Source organism: Homo sapiens, chromosome 2, assembly GCF_000001405.40.
Source record: "Homo sapiens chromosome 2, GRCh38.p14 Primary Assembly".
Taxonomy (NCBI): domain Eukaryota; kingdom Metazoa; phylum Chordata; class Mammalia; order Primates; family Hominidae; genus Homo; species Homo sapiens.
The window spans coordinates 85,206,558-85,223,279 of NC_000002.12; the positions used below are offsets into that span (position 1 = coordinate 85,206,558).

At 45.2% G+C, this 16,722-nt stretch overlaps 1 protein-coding gene and 1 long non-coding RNA gene across 3 annotated transcripts in view, besides 3 other annotated features; both read left to right on the forward strand.

Moving 5' to 3' along the window:
- TCF7L1 (transcription factor 7 like 1) overlaps positions 1-16,722 on the forward strand; it is a 176,996-nt gene that overhangs the window by 73,166 nt on the left and 87,108 nt on the right. The gene's annotated exons all lie outside the window — the stretch shown is intronic.
- Positions 7,001-7,502: an enhancer, noted in NCBI's record as "H3K4me1 hESC enhancer chr2:85440681-85441182 (GRCh37/hg19 assembly coordinates)". NCBI's record gives its function as "activates a minimal SCP1, AML or CMV promoter by ChIP-STARR-seq in naive H9 embryonic stem cells {active_cell/tissue: H9 hESC(naive)}" and the evidence as "EXISTENCE:reporter gene assay evidence [ECO:0000049][PMID:30033119]".
- LOC102724579 (uncharacterized) lies at positions 7,095-11,612 on the forward strand. Its single transcript, NR_136323.1, has 3 exons — positions 7,095-7,136; positions 10,463-10,649; positions 11,443-11,612. It is a non-coding gene; the product is annotated as an uncharacterized LOC102724579 (long non-coding RNA).
- Positions 8,345-9,279: an enhancer, noted in NCBI's record as "H3K27ac-H3K4me1 hESC enhancer chr2:85442025-85442959 (GRCh37/hg19 assembly coordinates)". NCBI's record gives its function as "activates a minimal SCP1, AML or CMV promoter by ChIP-STARR-seq in primed H9 embryonic stem cells {active_cell/tissue: H9 hESC(primed)}" and the evidence as "EXISTENCE:reporter gene assay evidence [ECO:0000049][PMID:30033119]".
- Positions 8,529-8,823: a silencer, noted in NCBI's record as "tiled region #8481; HepG2 Repressive non-DNase unmatched - State 20:ReprD, and K562 Repressive non-DNase unmatched - State 20:ReprD". NCBI's record gives its function as "represses a minimal TATA promoter and a strong SV40 promoter by Sharpr-MPRA in HepG2 and K562 cells {active_cell/tissue: HepG2 | K562}" and the evidence as "EXISTENCE:reporter gene assay evidence [ECO:0000049][PMID:27701403]".

Genomic DNA, 16,722 nt, shown 5'->3' on the forward strand with positions numbered 1-16,722 from the left:
GTAATCTCACAGCTAGCATGTGGCCGACACTATATTGAGAGTGGGGTTTGTGCTAATCCAGACTCAGCAAAATCTTGACTACTGGGACCCTTTCATCTCATCCAACATATTTGAGGGATCTCCTGTGGGCCAGGCACTGATCCTAGTGCTGGAAGTCCAGAGATAATGCCTCCCTTCAAAGAGTTTCTAGTTCAATAAAGAGAGCCTCATTTAATCAAAAGTGTTGCACATACTATAATTTTAGGAGAAAATTAATCCCAGGAAACAAACGTCTTAGGAGATATTTTACTCTAGGAAAAAAAGATAATCCAATCTTTTAAGGATTTGTTTTTAGGACAATACACATTAAATCATTCTCCTGAATGTGAATGTTGACACCACTCTCTGGTCAGAAATGTCATTCAGAACAACAGTGTTAAGGCGCGTGCGTGGTATTCTGTCACCCAAAATGTGTTAGCTATGTTTACTCCTCATACCAAGATTTTTCTCAGACACTCAAGAAGCATCTTCACTGATGCAGAACAAATAGGAATTTAAACCCACATTTTCATAATTGATTTTAGTACTCTTTTATAATCAGTGTAGGGGCAAACATTTTAAGTTTGTTCATCCCTTCTATAAATCTTGTAAATAAAGTTAATACTTGCATGTCACTGATGAATTCACTTCCAAGTTACTGCCTGTGACCTACCATGCACACAAAGCAGTGGTTGCTGGCAGGTGTGGCCTGACCCTTGTTGTCTTTCACACCACTTTGTCCCTCAGTCACAACCACCAAGCTCCGTCCACTGCACCTGCCCACGTCCTGTGTGCTCTGCACATCCCTGATTCCCTAATCATACACAGGTTCCTCCTTTTTCCTTTCTCACAGCACCCTTGGCACTTATCTGAAACATAGCTTTGTATTTTTTTGTACACACAGCTGCCGGCTAGCTATCCCTCCAAGAGCAAATACTGTGTCTGTTCTCTTCACCCATTTATAAAATGGTCATCATGGTGCCTCACTCATCATTAGCTTTTACTAAAGGGTGGGTAGATGGAACGTGAAAGGGTAGGTGGGTGGATGGATGGACAGCTGGAATAGTTCTTTCACCAAGCAGAGATGGCCCCTAACTTATGATGGTTTGACTGAACAATTTTTTGATTTTATGGTGGTGCAAAAGTGATACACGTTCAGTAGAAACCGTACTTCAGTGCTGTATTCAACAGATTACATTAGATATTCAACACTGTTATTAAAAAGGCTTTGCGTTAGGTGTTTTTGCCCAACTGTAGGCTAATGTAAGTATTCTGAGTGTAAGGTAGGCTAGGCTAAGCATTGATGTTCAGTAGATTACGTCTATTAAATGCATTTTTTTTGGGGGGCGGGGACAGAGTCTTGCTCTGTCGCCCAGGCTGGAGTTCAGTGGCGCCATCTCGGCCCACTGCAAGCTCTGCCTCCCGGGTTCACGCCATTCTCCTGCCTCAGCCTCCTGAGTAGCTGGGACTACAGGCGCCCGCCACCACACATGGCCAATTTTTTGTGTTTTTAGTAGAGACAGGGTTTCACCGTGTTAGCCAGGATGGTCTCGATCTCCTGACCTTGTGATCCACCAGCCTCGGCCTCCCAAAGTGCTGGGATTACAAGTGTGAGCCACCACACCTGGCCTATTAAATGCATTTTTGACTTAGTATATTTTCAGCCTACAATGGGTTTATCAGGATATAACCCCGTTGTAAGTGGAGGAACATCTGTACTTGAGTATGGGGTACTTTCTAGTACTGGCCTGTTGCAGTGAATCAGATGTCACCTCTCAAGTCACCTTCTGGCAGGAGAGAGAGACATACGTATACAGCGTGTCAGGTGGGAAAGGGCACTATGAGCAAATAGAGCAGATAAAGCAGAGTAAGGCAGGTAGAGAGAAGAGGTGGGGATGTTGTTGTCCGTGTGTGTCACCGCATGGAGAAGGTGATATATAAGCAGAGACCCGAAGGAAGTGAAGGGATGAACCGTATCCAGTTCATGGCTAAATTCTCACCATTCCATGTTTTCAGAGTGAATTCTATCTGTGTGTCTATCTTGTCTCATGGTGCAGTTTTAGTTTTTGCCACACATCTAAAGCTAAATACACCAGGTTTAGTGGAAGAGGGCCTCTGGAAGGATGGAAATGGGAGCTGCCTCTTTTTGTGGAAGGGACAATTCCAGGGTGGGAAAAAGATATTTATGGGCCACATTTTTTATATCTTCAATTTACTTTTTATTATCTTGAGGAAGTAATAGATCATTGAAAATGTGAATTTTTTTACTTCTCCTGTTGAGAGACAATATGAAGTTAATAAGAACAAGATTACTTTACAAAACATTCTGGGCTTGGCAGGTTCAGCCTCATTTGTATGTCATTGATTTCTTTACATTTTTCTCTGCATCTGTTGTAGGATTTTACAGGAGTCATAGAATAACGGGGTCAAATATTTCTCTTAATCTGAAAGGCGCCACATTAAAACAGGGTGGTCTGGTTGTAAGCGTTTCCTCCGAGTGGGACAGACGAATGTTACATATCCAGTTCAGGTAGCAGGCAAGCTGTTTCCGATTGCCAGGAAGGCCCTTAGAACCAGCTGGCCTTCGTTAAGTTAGGCTAGAGAGCGAATAAGGCAGTATATCTCTAAGCAGTAGCCCAAAGAGGAAAGTGATTGCTGTCTCCAATGGAGGGATCACAAAGGTGTGGAGGCCTGAGTGACCTGTTCACCTTCCTTTGCCTGCAACTGTGGACACAGTTATATGTGAGGTGGTGGCACTTGTCCTATTCGGGTACATGCATGAGATGGAAAGGCTTAGCTGACCATTCTGCAGCCCTTTCCAAACTAGGTGTTTCAGTGGCAGTGCCAGTACTTGCTGGGAATCCTGCTGCTTTTCCTGTGGTCTGCCCGTTGCTTATGCTCTGAAAAGGCACTGTTTGAAACCTCAATGCCCTAAGGAGCATCTTGGGTGAGAAGAGAGATTGGGAAACTACACAGAGGATGCTCAGGAACTTCAAACCTGGAAAATGCCAGGGCAGTAATTCTCAGAGTGTGGTCCACAGACCCCTGCTTCAGAATCATCACAGGTGCTTGTCGAAATGCAGACTCCTGGGCCCATTCCAAAGCGCAGAAGGTGCAGCACTGGAATTAAGGGGCTGTCTCCCAGGGGTGACAGGCACATACACCCAGGCAATGGGGAGCGACACCTTTGCACAGAAACCCACCGAGGCAGCTATTGCATTTCCTGATTATGAGGTGATTTATTTCCTCTAAAAATGTATCCTATAGCCCTTTCCCAGGGAGTCTAATTTAGCAGATCTGGGGTGGTTCCAGACAGGGAAATCAGTTAGAATATTAATGAATTAGGAAACTGTTTTCATTTTTTAGCAGGGATCTCTGTTTGAGACATGGGTGTCTCTTGGTAAACTCTAAGGCAATTGGATCTCCATATTCTTAGAATCCTGGCAAAGGGGAGAATTCAGAAGGGCCCCACCTAGGCTGTGCCCATGATGAACTGGATATAGTCTTCACAGGTCAGTGTTGATTCAGCAGTATTTCTTGAGACCAGCCCTGGGTGAGGCCCCATGGGGAACACTCCCAGCCATGTTACCATTAACTGGCTCCTTATAGTAACCCAGCTGTGCCTTTCCCCTTGCCTCCTCTGAGAGGCCTCGCTCCTGCCTGGCCCCTTCCCCACACACATGGGCATCCCCATCTTCATTCTACCTTCTGCCCTGCTGGGGAGGCTGAGGGCCCAGCACAGCTATGGCCCCTGGCTGGAGCCCTGTAGTTTCTCCCCTTGGCAGGCATCTCCACTAGTGCCATAGGGTTGGTGCTAGGTAGACAAGTGTGAAGGGCTAGGAGAGGAGGACAGGGGTTTTGCATTGGCACAGTAGCCAAGACAGCAAAGGTTGGAAAAGAACAGGTAAAACTATCACAGTTTGCAGATTGTCTACCTGGAAAACCCAAGAGAGTCAAGTGAAAACACCATAGCCAAGATTTGTCCAGGGGAGGAAGAGGTTTCACCAGGCCATTGAAGGAAGTTTCAGACAACAGTGCGGAGGGAGGGCTGGGTTCATCCAGGTTGTTCCCAGCCCTTTGTCCTTGTCTGTTAGGGCCTCTTTCTTCCATGGGGCGTGGCAAGGGAATAGCGACTTAGTGTTCTAAATAATAACATGGTCATTTCCGGAGTACTTGCCATGTGCCAGGCATCATTCTAAACATGTATGTTAACTAATTTAATCCTCACAACAGCCCTGTGAGGTGGCGATTTCGGTCAGCATCATCTCATTACCTCCACATGCAGGGAGGGAAAATGAAGTGTGGAGAATCGCAGCAACCTGCCTAAGGGTCACATAGCTAACAAGTGGCAGAGCCCAGGAACCTGCGCGAGGCACCACCCACTCTGCACTGCCTCCCGTCACACAGCAAGATGGGTCTATCTCCCAGAGGCACCTTGACTTCTGCACTCATAAAATAGGCCACACAGTAGAGATTCAGTACGCATTGTTGAATAGCTTTCATCTCTAGGGCAGTTTTCTGTCTTCAAGACAAACAGTGGCCTGAGAGCTCTGAGAATTTAGGTATCCAGGGATCCAATTGCTTTCTTATTTACTGAGAGATAGGCATGTCTCTGGTGAGATCCTGCCAAACATAAACTCCTCCTTATTAATAAATTTAGGAATTGTCTGGAACCACCACGATGGAGACTATCAACAATATGTACATCAGTTCTCTGAGTTGAAAGGTGTGTGCACAGCACTGCCCCTGATGTCTGTGACTTTCGGTCAGAGACTTAACCTCTCTGATCTTTAGATCTTCACTGGTTTAAAAAGAAAGAGCTGGGTCAGTATTACCAACCTCAACAGGTCATTATGAGGATTAAATGAGACAACACATGGGAAGGGTCTCATCCAGTGCTGGCTCGTAGTGGGATCTCCATGAAGGTAAGTCTATCCCTGTGCCTTCCAGGAGGGGCAACAGCTATGTGGGATTTCATAAAACGATGCATTATAGGACCTGCTCCCTGCCCTCACCTAGCTTATAATTTAGGCAAGAAGAGTTTCTGAAACCACAGACATAGAAATCATAATTCCAGGCCACAGCAGGGGAGACCCCACATGGCAGTGCCTGGTCTGGTCTTTAGAGCAGGCATGACCTATGCCCGTGGGCCCACATCCCTTGTAGCTGTGATTTGGGGCAGGAACAGTGATTTTACAAAGTTAAAAAAGGCATGTAAAAATCCAGACTTTCGGCCAGGAATGGTAGCTCATGCCTGTAATCCCAGCACTCTGGGAGGCCGAGGCGGGTGGGTCACCTGAGGTCAGGAATTCAAGACCAGCCTGGCCAACATGATGAAACCCCATCTCTAGTAAAAATACAAAAATCAGTCGGATGTGGTGGCACGCGCCTGTAATCCCAGCTACTCGGGATGCTGAGGCAGGAGAATCGCTTGAACCTGGGAGGCAGAGGTTGCAGTGAGCTGAGATCACGCCGCTGCACTCCAGCCTGGGCGACAGAGCAAGACTCCATCTCAAAAAAAAAAAAAAAAAAAAAAAAAAATTCCAGACTTCTAGCCTGTCTCAAAAAATCAGGAGGTATGGCAAGAATGGGCTCAAATTCCTACACGGTAACAGTCAGCAGCCCCCAGATGGGCTGTGGCCACCCCTCCTGCAGAGCTCTGTGGTGTGTCTGGGCTGAGTGGGGCTGGGTTCAAACCCTGGACCCACCACTTACCAGCTGGCATGACCTCAAGCAGGTTACCTGACCTCTTCTGTACATCTGGGCAGTGGCAGTACCTGCGTCCTGATCTTGTTGTGGGGATTTGCTGAGCTTCAGTCTGTGTAAAAGCCCAGAAGCACCTGATAATTATTATTGTGGCTGCTGTTATTATCTTGACTCCTCTATGCCCAACCCTGGGAAGCATTCATGTGCTTGCTCTGTGGGTCGGAAGAAGGAAAACTCATCACAGCCTGGGGATTGATGGACTTTTTAGAGGACCTGTCTTTTGAATTGGGCCTGAACTGCGAGAGGGAAGAGCCATGCTAGGCAGGGGGACAGCAAGAGTAAAAGCGCAGAGGTGGAAAGTGTGCACCGTGTCAAGTGGCTGTCAGCAGGGTCCTTTTATGACTGATGAGTTTTCTTTTGTTTCTGTGTGAGTTGCAAATGGGTTTGGGTCTTGGTGCACGTCAGTATCTTGGACCCCTGAGGAAGGATGTCATCACCCCCAGGTTGAGCATGCACAGCCTTCTTCAGGACGGTGAGACGAACCCGCTGAGCAGGCTGTGGGCAAGGTCACTGTGGGGTCCAAACAGAGACATGGGGAGGGTCAGAGGACCCTTCTGTGTCATTACGGGATTGGGAAGTGGAATGGCCCTAAGATGTCCCCTGGGACTCGAATGTGACAAAACCTTGTCCCTCAGCAGAAGAGAATCTAGAAAATCTGTCTGGTGGAGTCCTGGAAGTGGGTGAGGTGTGGGGTGGGGTGAGAAGGGGTTGTGCAAGACTGGACTGGTGACCCAAGGGAGGCCCAGAAAACGCCTTGAAGGGGAGCACAAAGATGGGCAGGAGAAACCTCCAGTTTCCCTGTGGCTGGGGTGGGGGGAGGGTTTGGGGGCCAGGTGCATGAATGGACCCCAGCTCCTTTTTGGGTGGGAGCAGCCATGACAAGGAACTGTATTAAACTTCGAAATGCAGAACTCTAGAGTAGCCTGTGTCTACACTGATTTTAAGTTATGAATTTTCTAGTGGTTCTTATTATAGGTAATGAGACATATTCCCTACAAATCAGGAATATCCTATAATTCTATGGTTTCCACCTCCCAATGACACCTCTCTGATTGTCTCACACTTAGAAGTAATACCCAAAAATAGCCTTTGAGGAATCCTATGCCCCAGTGTTTTATTTGGAAGGTAAGGTCACTGTATTTATGTATCAGCCATAAATACTTGAATGAGAGTGAAAATTCCTAAGGATTTGCCATTTCCGGCTGATGGCACTAGATCCCTTGGAAGTGTCCCATGTCATAATATGCCAACACATTTAGAATTTTCAACAGTCATGGAAACAAACAGGTGCTTGGGGCAGCTAAAAATAACCACCCTGGGAAGTGAAACTGTGGCAGTGCCAAGGAGCTAAGGTGGGCAGTACTGCGCTTTTGGGTGAGGTCAAAACTCTGGAGGGAAGGCCAAGAAAAGAAAATTCTGCCCATGCCCCTCCTCCCAGCACCCAGGAGTGTGTTTTCTCTTCTCAGAATCTCTGTCTGATGTGCTAGCCTTTTTGTGTCATTTCGACTGAAACGTCTCACAGCTCCAACCCACTGCCCCCATATCTTGCATAGCTTTCTGTCCAGATTTCTGAATTAAAGGCTGGATCCAGAGGGTGTCCCACTGTGCATGGATGGGGGGCTTCCTCCCACCCCAGTGGGATGCTCCTGCTGCCATTCTCACCCCGGAACGCCCCTGACTCAGCCACCTCCGGGGCGGTGAGAGGTGTGAGGGATGATCGGGGAGTGCCATGCTCAGCAGCCTGAACCGTGTCAGGGAACCCAGGCATTCCAGCCTGTGTCATCCTCCCCCTCCCGTGAAGAGCCACAGCCACATCCTCCATGCCCTGCTGCACTTCCTGAGGAGTGAAAGATGGTGGCTGTCAGCGTGTCAAGGATGACGGGTGGCAAGAGGGGTAAACACAGCTTGTTACTACCAGATTCGATTACCGGGTGATGCTCGAAGACAAATGGCCTGGGGCCTTTCTGCCCCTTGAGGGCAGGGGCAGTCTTAGTCACCAGGAGCAGGGTCCTATGAGGAGGAGTTAGGGATGTTGTGGAATTGTCTCCCAAAGCCAGTGCCAGCCGATAGGACTAGTTGTGTTATCTCGAGTTTTCGTTGTTGGTAGTTTTGAATTGGGAGCCTTGATTTGACCCTGAGAATAACCAAAACTGTACAAAAGACATGTGTATTCAAAACAAGACACAATAAGGCTCAAAAACAAAACTGTCTATGGTGATAAAGGTTAGAGTAGGAGTTACCTTGGGGGCAGAGGAATGTTGGCTGGGACAGGATATGCAAGAACCTCTAGAATGGTTCTGGAATGTTCTGTATCTTGATCTGGTGGTGGTGACACAAGTTTATACAGATGTATTAATTGAGCTGTACATTTAAGATGTGGGGAATCGCTCTGAACCTATTCTGGTAACAGGGGCTCCCCGAGTTTTAAAAAAGATGTGTACATTTTACTGTATATATGCTATATCTCAGTGAATAAGTAACAATAAAGAAAAATATGCATAAAGGTGGACTGTGAACAGAAACACCTTGGCAACATTTGAATAACCTAGCTTTTACCATATTTGGAGTTTGCTGTCCCCTGGTCCTAGGTGCTAAAAACCTGATTTGGTTCAGTCCAGACATTTAAAACACCAGCCAGCTATGGAGAGTAAAATAATGGCAAGTCTCTTCCTAGTTTGACCATCAAGAGAGTAATTTGGAAACTCCAGCCCTGTGCCCTGAAACCAGAGTCTGTCCATCCCTCTACAATTAGATGAGATTCCTGGGGCATCAAGGTCAAGCAGATCCAGCTTTGAATTGCTGTTCTGCCACTTTAACACCGGGACCTTCTGAAAAACAGTTGCCCTCTCTCAGGTTCCGTTTCTTTGTGAATTGGGTGAACTCTTGAGTGTTCTTTAGCAAAGGAGTACCTGTAACGTGCTCCACCCAGTGGTGAGTCCGTAGCAGGTGATCAATAAATGCTAAAGATGCTGATTGTCATTGTCACCACTATCACGAAATTGTGCAGCGTTCGAGGGAACTCCAGGGAGCCACATACCCTCGCCAGTGATGTACCTCTACAATGGCTTCAACAAACAGTTCCCACACAACGCAACTTTTCCTACAGTTGGGTGGGCTCCAGGGTGCAGAGGCCCCCCGCCTTGCTTGGCAGGTTGGCTTGGCTGGAGCCTTTGCTGGTTCTCAGAGCGGGAACATGGTCGAGTTGGCCAACAGTGTACCCACGTTGAAGCAGCTGTGCCGAACATCTGGCTCTGATTATCTGGCTGGGAATGGCCGGGGGTGGGAGCACTGTGATTTATAGATTGCTCCTTTGGCTGTAAATCCCATCTGTAATTGTGACTTCTCTGTCCCTAATTGTTTGCAGAGAAGAGAGGAGCTCAATGGCTTACAATCCCTGGCAGAGCCCAAGGCTGCTGGGGTGGGGGTGGGGGGGGGTGAGGGGGGTGGTGAGGTTTGTTGCTAGGACACGGCTGTCTTTGTTTTGGTCCCTGCTCAGCAGTGTTTTTAAGGCCCTGTATACATTTCTCTGTATTGTTAATGTAATTTGTTCAGGCAGTGAACAGCCAAGTTCAGCCGAAGGAATCCGATACTCATAACAGAAACACCAGAGGCCAGGTTTTTGTGGTCAAATTAGGGTTTTGAGGCCTCTGAAGAGAATGAAATGTTGGCGCTGGGCGGGGGACAATCTCCCTTTCTCCTCTTGTGGTGATGCTGGCCTGGGTTCAGCTTCCTTGAGGAGCTTGGCTTTGGGGCACCAAGTCCACTGCATTCAGGGCTGTGTTAGGTGGGGAGCCCGGCTGCCCTTCTCCGAGAAAGGGAATGCAGATTTTATTCAAAAGGGAAGAAAAGGCACTAACAAAGTATGAGCAAGTTTGGGCCCTGCCTGCCCAGCCTTTCCTTCCCCGTGGCTCCGGGCAGCTTTTTTCCCCCCATCCCCCACCCTGCATTACTTGACTGGTGAGGAAATAATAGTTGGGCTCTGCTGAGAAGGTATGTGACTGTGCAAAATGCAATTTGCCCGTTTCCGCTGCCCATGAAGACCCGACAGCCCACTTGCCATCTGGGAACCTCGCGCCCTGCTGTGCTTGGAGTTTTCGGAAACGATGGATTCCAAACAACTTCCAGTGAGCAATTGGTGATATTAAGTTAACTGAGTTCATCTTACCCTTTTTATTTTGCCTCAGAGAGTAAAATAAGATAGAAGCAAACATACCAGCCCACAAACATGTCCATGCTTCCTTTTGCTTCTAGAAGGCGTATGTTGGGAAATTAATCAGACCAACGTTAGCCCCTTCCTCCCGGCCCTGGAAGAATGCCTGGTGTGTGTGCATCCCCCTCTCCAGTTAGCAATTACCGAACAACTTCTGTGGCTACCAAGGAGAGCATGATAGGGTCCCAGCCCTCCAGAGCTTACAATGTAAGAGAACAAACAGGAACATGAGTCTTTACAATACCTGCAGTGAGCGCCAACAAAGTGGAATAAAATGTCACCTGAAATACCTGAGAAAGGGGCTTCTCAAGCTTGGAGAAGGCAGAGGCTTTGGAGAGATGTTTGATCTGAGCCTTGCAGGAGACCGTCCAAGTGTGGGTTCTAGTACTACCTGGATGCAAGCCTTCCTCCGCCTGTGTCCCAGCAAGGAAGAGTTGCCTTCTTAATGACCCCATTCATTGTCCCTAGAACGTGGTGATTTACCAGAAGTCTTCAGAGGCAAGCCATCTTCAATTCAGAAGGGGAATCCCACATGTGTGTTGAATATGAGGCATTGTTTAAGACACCTCCTGCCCTCACCACATTGGCAAACTGACAGCGTCAACTTGAAACAAGTCTGCACATTGTGGCCATTTTCACTCCACAACAAATGTTTGTAAGTGGCCACCTAAGCCTGTGAACTTCCTAACTTTGATAATTACAAACACGAGGTAGATAAGATTGAAGCAAACCTGGCAAGTTATACTGACTTGCAGCTGAAGCACTCTGAGAAACAGAACAATTTGTTCACAGAAAAAGGAAATTAAGGTGTTTCTACACTCTTTAATTTCCAAGGTCTTTGTTTAAAGTGAATGAGTTCAAATGAGGGAAGACACATTCTGCTCACGTTTGATGTCACTCACTACTCATGTCGCAGCATAGGGTGTCACAGCCTGTGTCCCAGCTTCTTCCCATGGGCACCATGCTCTTCAGCCATACAGACTCGGACATTCCACTGCCAACCAGTATCCTCACCAATGACCCCAAGGTGCTGTTGAGGCACTTTTCTTTTTCAGAGTTTACTGACATCCTACCCACCACTGAGTAGCATGTTCCTTGCCCATGATTCCCTTCTGTACTCCCTCCCCCAATACCCTGTATAGGCCAAGTATCCCTTATCCAAAATGTTTGGGGCCAGAAGTGTTTCGCAGTTTTGGAACTCTTATTGGATTTGGGAATATTTGCATTATACTGACCAGCTGAGCATCTGTAATTGGAAAATCTGACATGCCCCAGTCAGCATCTCATTTGAGTGTCATGTTGGCACTCAAGAAGTTTCAGATTTTTGAGCATTTTGGATTTTGTATTTTCGATTTTGGGGTTAGGGATGCTCAACTTGTACTAGCATTAAATTAGGTCTAATCAGTTTTTATCAAAATAATTTTTTTCTTTTTTGTCTCCTTCACTAGACCATGGAATTCCTTGGAATCAAAAATCATGTCCTCTTCTCCCGTGCCTAGAAGAATGCCCGAGAGGTGTTCACTATGTATTTATAGGGTGAAATTTTCCTATATATGTCTTATATCCCTTAAGAAATTTTTTTCCAGACAATAAATGCTCCCTTTTCAAAGCACTATAATTAACTCTAGGTGTTTTTGATTTAAAATGTTCTGAAATGCATCCCACACTTTTCTAACTTTACTTATTTTATTTATTTATTTATTTATTTATTTATTTATTTTTGAGACAAGATCTTGCTCTGTCACCCAGGCCTGGAGTGCAGTGGCACGATCTTGGCTCACTGCAATTCCGCCTCCTGGGCTCAAGCAATCCTTCTGCCTCAGCCTCCTGAATAACTGGGACTATAAGCACATGCCACCATGCCTGGCTAATTTTTGTATTTTTTGAAGAGATGGGGTTTCACCATGTTGCCCAGGTTGGTCTTGAACTCCTAGGTTCAAGGGATTTGCCTGCCTTGGCCTCCCAAAGTTCTGGGATTACAGGCGTGAGCTACCACGCCCAGCGTTATCTGACTTCTAGTGGTTCCAAACATCTATATTAAAATCATGAACTAGGAAATATTTAGTTAAAATATCTTTTTATTCCAATGGGGGGGGGAAAACTGGTGATAGTGTTCTTTCCTAAAGCTTTTGCATTTTTTCCTCTAGGAGAGGTCCTTGGATATTTACCCAGGCTTTCCTGACTTGATAAAAGAACACTGCTTGATTATATAGTGCAGTCATCTGCAGATTAAGTGGCAGCTGACCATCTAGGCAGGGGAAAATATGAGAAGTAATAATATAAAAGGATACTCTGTGATGGACGGGCATAATGGTGAATAAGATGTTCAGAGCCAGGAGCACTGGGTCACACCTGTAATCCCAATACTTTGGGATGCTGAAGCAGGAGGATCACTTGAGGCCAGGAGTTCAAGACCAGCCAGGTCAACATAGCCAGACCCTGTCTCTACAAAAAATAAAATAAAATAGGCACACACCTGTAATCCCAGCTACTCAGGAGGCTGAGGTGAGAGGATGGCTTGAGCCCAGAAGTTAGGGGCTGCAGTGAGCCACGCTTGTGCCCCTGAACTCCAGCTTGGGCAACAGAGTGAAACCCCATCTCAAAAAACAATTTTTTTTCCCCAGAAAATGCTGTTGTATGCTTTCCATTGAAAGAAAGAAGCAGGATCAGAGAAATGCAGACTAAAACAATGAGACGGCAAAAGTTAAAGTCTAAGCATACTGGTGTTGGCGAGGATGTTTGTTAATAAATGACACATTTGCGTATTATATTGAGGAATGATTTGGCAATATCTAGTAAAATCAAAGATGCACATATCTTATGACCCAGCAAATCTACTACACATGAGCACAAGGGACATGAACAAGAACGCTCCTTGCTGCATTGTTTACAGTAGCATAAACTAGAAACAACATATGTGGCCATCTATGTATTAAATAAATAAATATAGTCATCTAGTAGAATATAGTGAATTAACTCAGATCTACATGTATTAACATGAATAAATTCTAAAAGTGTAACACTCATTAGAAAAAGTAAGTGGCTAGGCTGGGCACAGTTGCTCACACCTATAATCCCAGCACTTTGGGAGGCCGAGGCAGTGGGATCACTTGAACCCAGGAGTTTAAGACCAGCATGGGCAGCATAGTGAGACCTCATCTCTTTGAAAAGAAAGAAAGAAAAAATAAGGGGCTAAAAAATACCTAAAATGTAGTGCCATTTATAAGAATGTTTGTAACTCCCAAGAGAATGATAATTGCATTTGGTTATACAGGAGAATGCCCTGGTGTTTAGGAGATCTGGGCTGAGGTATTTGAGGGTAAGGTGTTACAATGTTGACAACTGACTTTCAAATGGTTCTGCAAAATTAAAATGTGTTTGTGTGAATACATACATAGGGGAGGGAGGTAAGCAAAGCCAATGTGTGAACATGTTAACGATGATTGATCTGGATGAAGGACAGATGGGTGTTTATTGTACTTTTCCTATAACTTTCCTGTAAAATGGAACTTTTCAAAATAAAAAATTGAAGACACTCATTGAACCTATAAATTGTGGATAATACATATGTAGTGAAATATATTCAATGAAAAACATGCAGAGGTATGACAAGCAGTACCTTTAGGACAACATTACTTCTGGGAGGGCAGATAAATGAATGACAGATCGGATACTTGAGCTATATCAATAACACTTTATTTCTTTAAGAAAAAAAAGAGGTGGGGAGCTCTAGATTAATATGGGAAAATGATAAGCTATTCAATCTGGTGTCCATTAGTGTCTCTACTTACTTTCTGTACTTAAAAAAAAATATATATATATGTATATATATTTTTTGAGATGGAGTCTCACTGTCACCCAGGCTGGAGTACAGTGGCGCAATGTCAGCTCACTGCAACCTCCTCCCAGGTTGAAGCGATTCTCCTGCCTCAGCCTTCCGAGCAGCTTGGACTACAGGCACGCGCCTCCATGCCCAGCTAACTTTTGTATTTTTGATAGAGACAGGGTTTCACCATGTTGGCCAGGATGGTCTCGATCTCTTGACCTCGTTCTCTACCCACCTCAGCCTCCCAAAGTGCTGGGATTACAGGCATGAGCCACTGCACCCAGCCTATAGTTTTATAACTAGATGATAGTTTATTCCATAACTATAAACAACATTTTTAAAACTTCAGAAAAGTGGGAATAAATAATTTAGTTTTCCTTTTAAAATTAAAGCTTATTTTGAAAGTTATTTTGGTGCTTAAAAGAGAGAGAATATATATTTTGTAGCTCTATCCACTGGAAAAGATTAGAAACAATGATTATCTCAATAGCACTGACCAGCTCCAGTGCTCAGATTATATTCACCAAATCCCATTTCCCAGTTAAAATAAAACCAGGCTCCTGGGAGAAGGAGCTGATTCGATGTATGAAGTTAGCCTAGAATATATTGTTATACAAGAAAGCATGAAAGCTATTGAAGACCATTAGAGACCCAAGTCTATTGTTACGCACTCAGGTACTAGGGCTGCTAGGTCGGAAGGACTCAGCAGCCAAACTGAGTAAGACGGAAAAGATGAAATAATTAGATCATCAAGAATATATTATATTTATTAAAATCCTTAAGTTCACGCTGACACCAAGAAAACACAACAAAATAAACACAACACTGGTCTCCTTTGGAGGACAACAGGGAGCTGAGTCATTATTTTCAATATGTTAATAGAAAGAATCACGCATTTGTCCTGCCTGTGCTGTGTGCTGTTTGCCACTGGGCCACTAGTTGAGGAAAGTTTTTCTTTACAGAAGTATTTCAGCTAATAAATGAAGAAGAAATAGTCTTGTTTCCTGTCTTAGTTCATTTTGTGTTGCTGTAACAGCACACCACAAACTGGGTAATTTATAAAGGAAAGATATTTACTTGGCTCACAGTTAAGGAGGCTGGGAAGTCCAAGGGCATAGTGCCGACATCTGCTCAGCATCTGGTGCAGGCCTTCTTACTGCATCGTCCTATAGCAGAAAGGCAAGAGAGTACGCCTGTGTGTGCACAAGACGGCAGAATGGGGGATGGGGGGCAAACTCATACTTTAATCAGGAACCCACTCCCACAATAAGGGCATTAATACATTTATGAGGGCACAGCCCTCATAACCTAATCACCTCTTAAAGTTTCCACTTCTCAACACTGTTGCATTATGCATTAAGTTTGCAAAACATGAACTTTGGGGGACATATTCAAACCATGGCATTCCCTCTCCCCTAAATAAAATAAAGTAAAATAACATTGAACCTGAATTTGATCAAGCCTCTAGATCTAATTATTAATTTACCAGAAATACAATTCAGAAGAACATGTTAGATTGACACCATGAGGATATGATTAGCAAAATCCAGACTTAAAAAAAAAAAAAACTACAGGAACAATAACTTGGTTTCCTCCACGAATAATACAGGAGGCGTGGGCAGGGTGGAAATAGGGAAAGAGAAAGACTCCTAAAGATTAAAAGGCTATAAAAGACTAAAGGTGGCCAGATGCGGTGGCTCATGCCTATAATCCCAGCACTTCTGGAGGCCGAGGAGGGTGGATCACCTGAGGTCAGGAGTTCGAGACCAGCCTGACCAACATGGTGAAACCTCGTCTCTACTAAAAATACAAAATTAAGCGGGCGTGGTGGCGCACGCCTGTAATCCCAGCTACTTGGGAGGCTGAGGCAGGAGAATCGCTTGAAACCAGAAGGTGGAGGTTGCAGTGAGCCGAGATTGGCCATTGCACTCCAGCCTGGGCAGCAAGAGTGAGACTCCATCTCAAAAAAAAAAACAAACAAACAAACAAAAAAAAAAACACTAAAGGCTTGGCCAGGCGTGGTGGTTCACGCCTGTAATCCCAGCACTTTGGGAGGCCACGGTGTGGATTGCTTGAGCTCAGGAGTTCAAGGCCAGCCTGGGCAACATGGTGAAATCCCTGTCTCCACCAAAAATACAAAAAATTAGCCCGGCACAGGGGTATGCACCTGTCGTCCCAGCTACTTGGGAGGCTGAGTTGTGAGGATTGCTTGAGCCAGGGAGGCAGAGGCTGCAGTGAGCCTAGATTGCACTGCTGCACTCCAGCCTGGGTGACAGAGTGAGACCCCATCTCAAAAAAAAAAAAAAAAAAAAGATTAAAGGCTTTAAAAAAGAATAAAAGACATAAATTGACCAATAGCAAATGTATGGACCATGCATTGGATCCTGATTGGAATAAACTGTAGGGAAAAATTATTTGTAAGACATAATATTAGAAAATTATTGTTAACCCTTAAAAACATTTTTTAGGATTTTAAAAAATTTTCTGCTTTCTAGAGATAACACACAGAAATATTTACCAATGAAGTGATAGGCTATCTGGGCTCTGTTTCGAAATAGTCTTGGGCTTAGGGGTGGATGAGCAAGGAGTGGGTGGGGGATGGATGAATGGAGACGGGCCATGAGCTAGTAATTGCAGAACCTGGTGGTGGCTTAACCAGATTCATTATATTGTTCTCTCTACTTTTGTGTACATTGGAAATTTTCCAAAATGGTTTGTTTTTGAGATGGAATCTCACTCAGTCGCCTAGGCTAGAGTGCACTGGTGCAATCATAGCTCACTGTAGCTTCAAACTCCTGGGCCCAAGCAATCCCCCCACCTCAGCCTCCTGAGTAGCTGGGACTATAGGTGTGTGCCATCACGCCCTGCTAATTTTTCTAAATTTTTTGTAGAGACAAGGTTT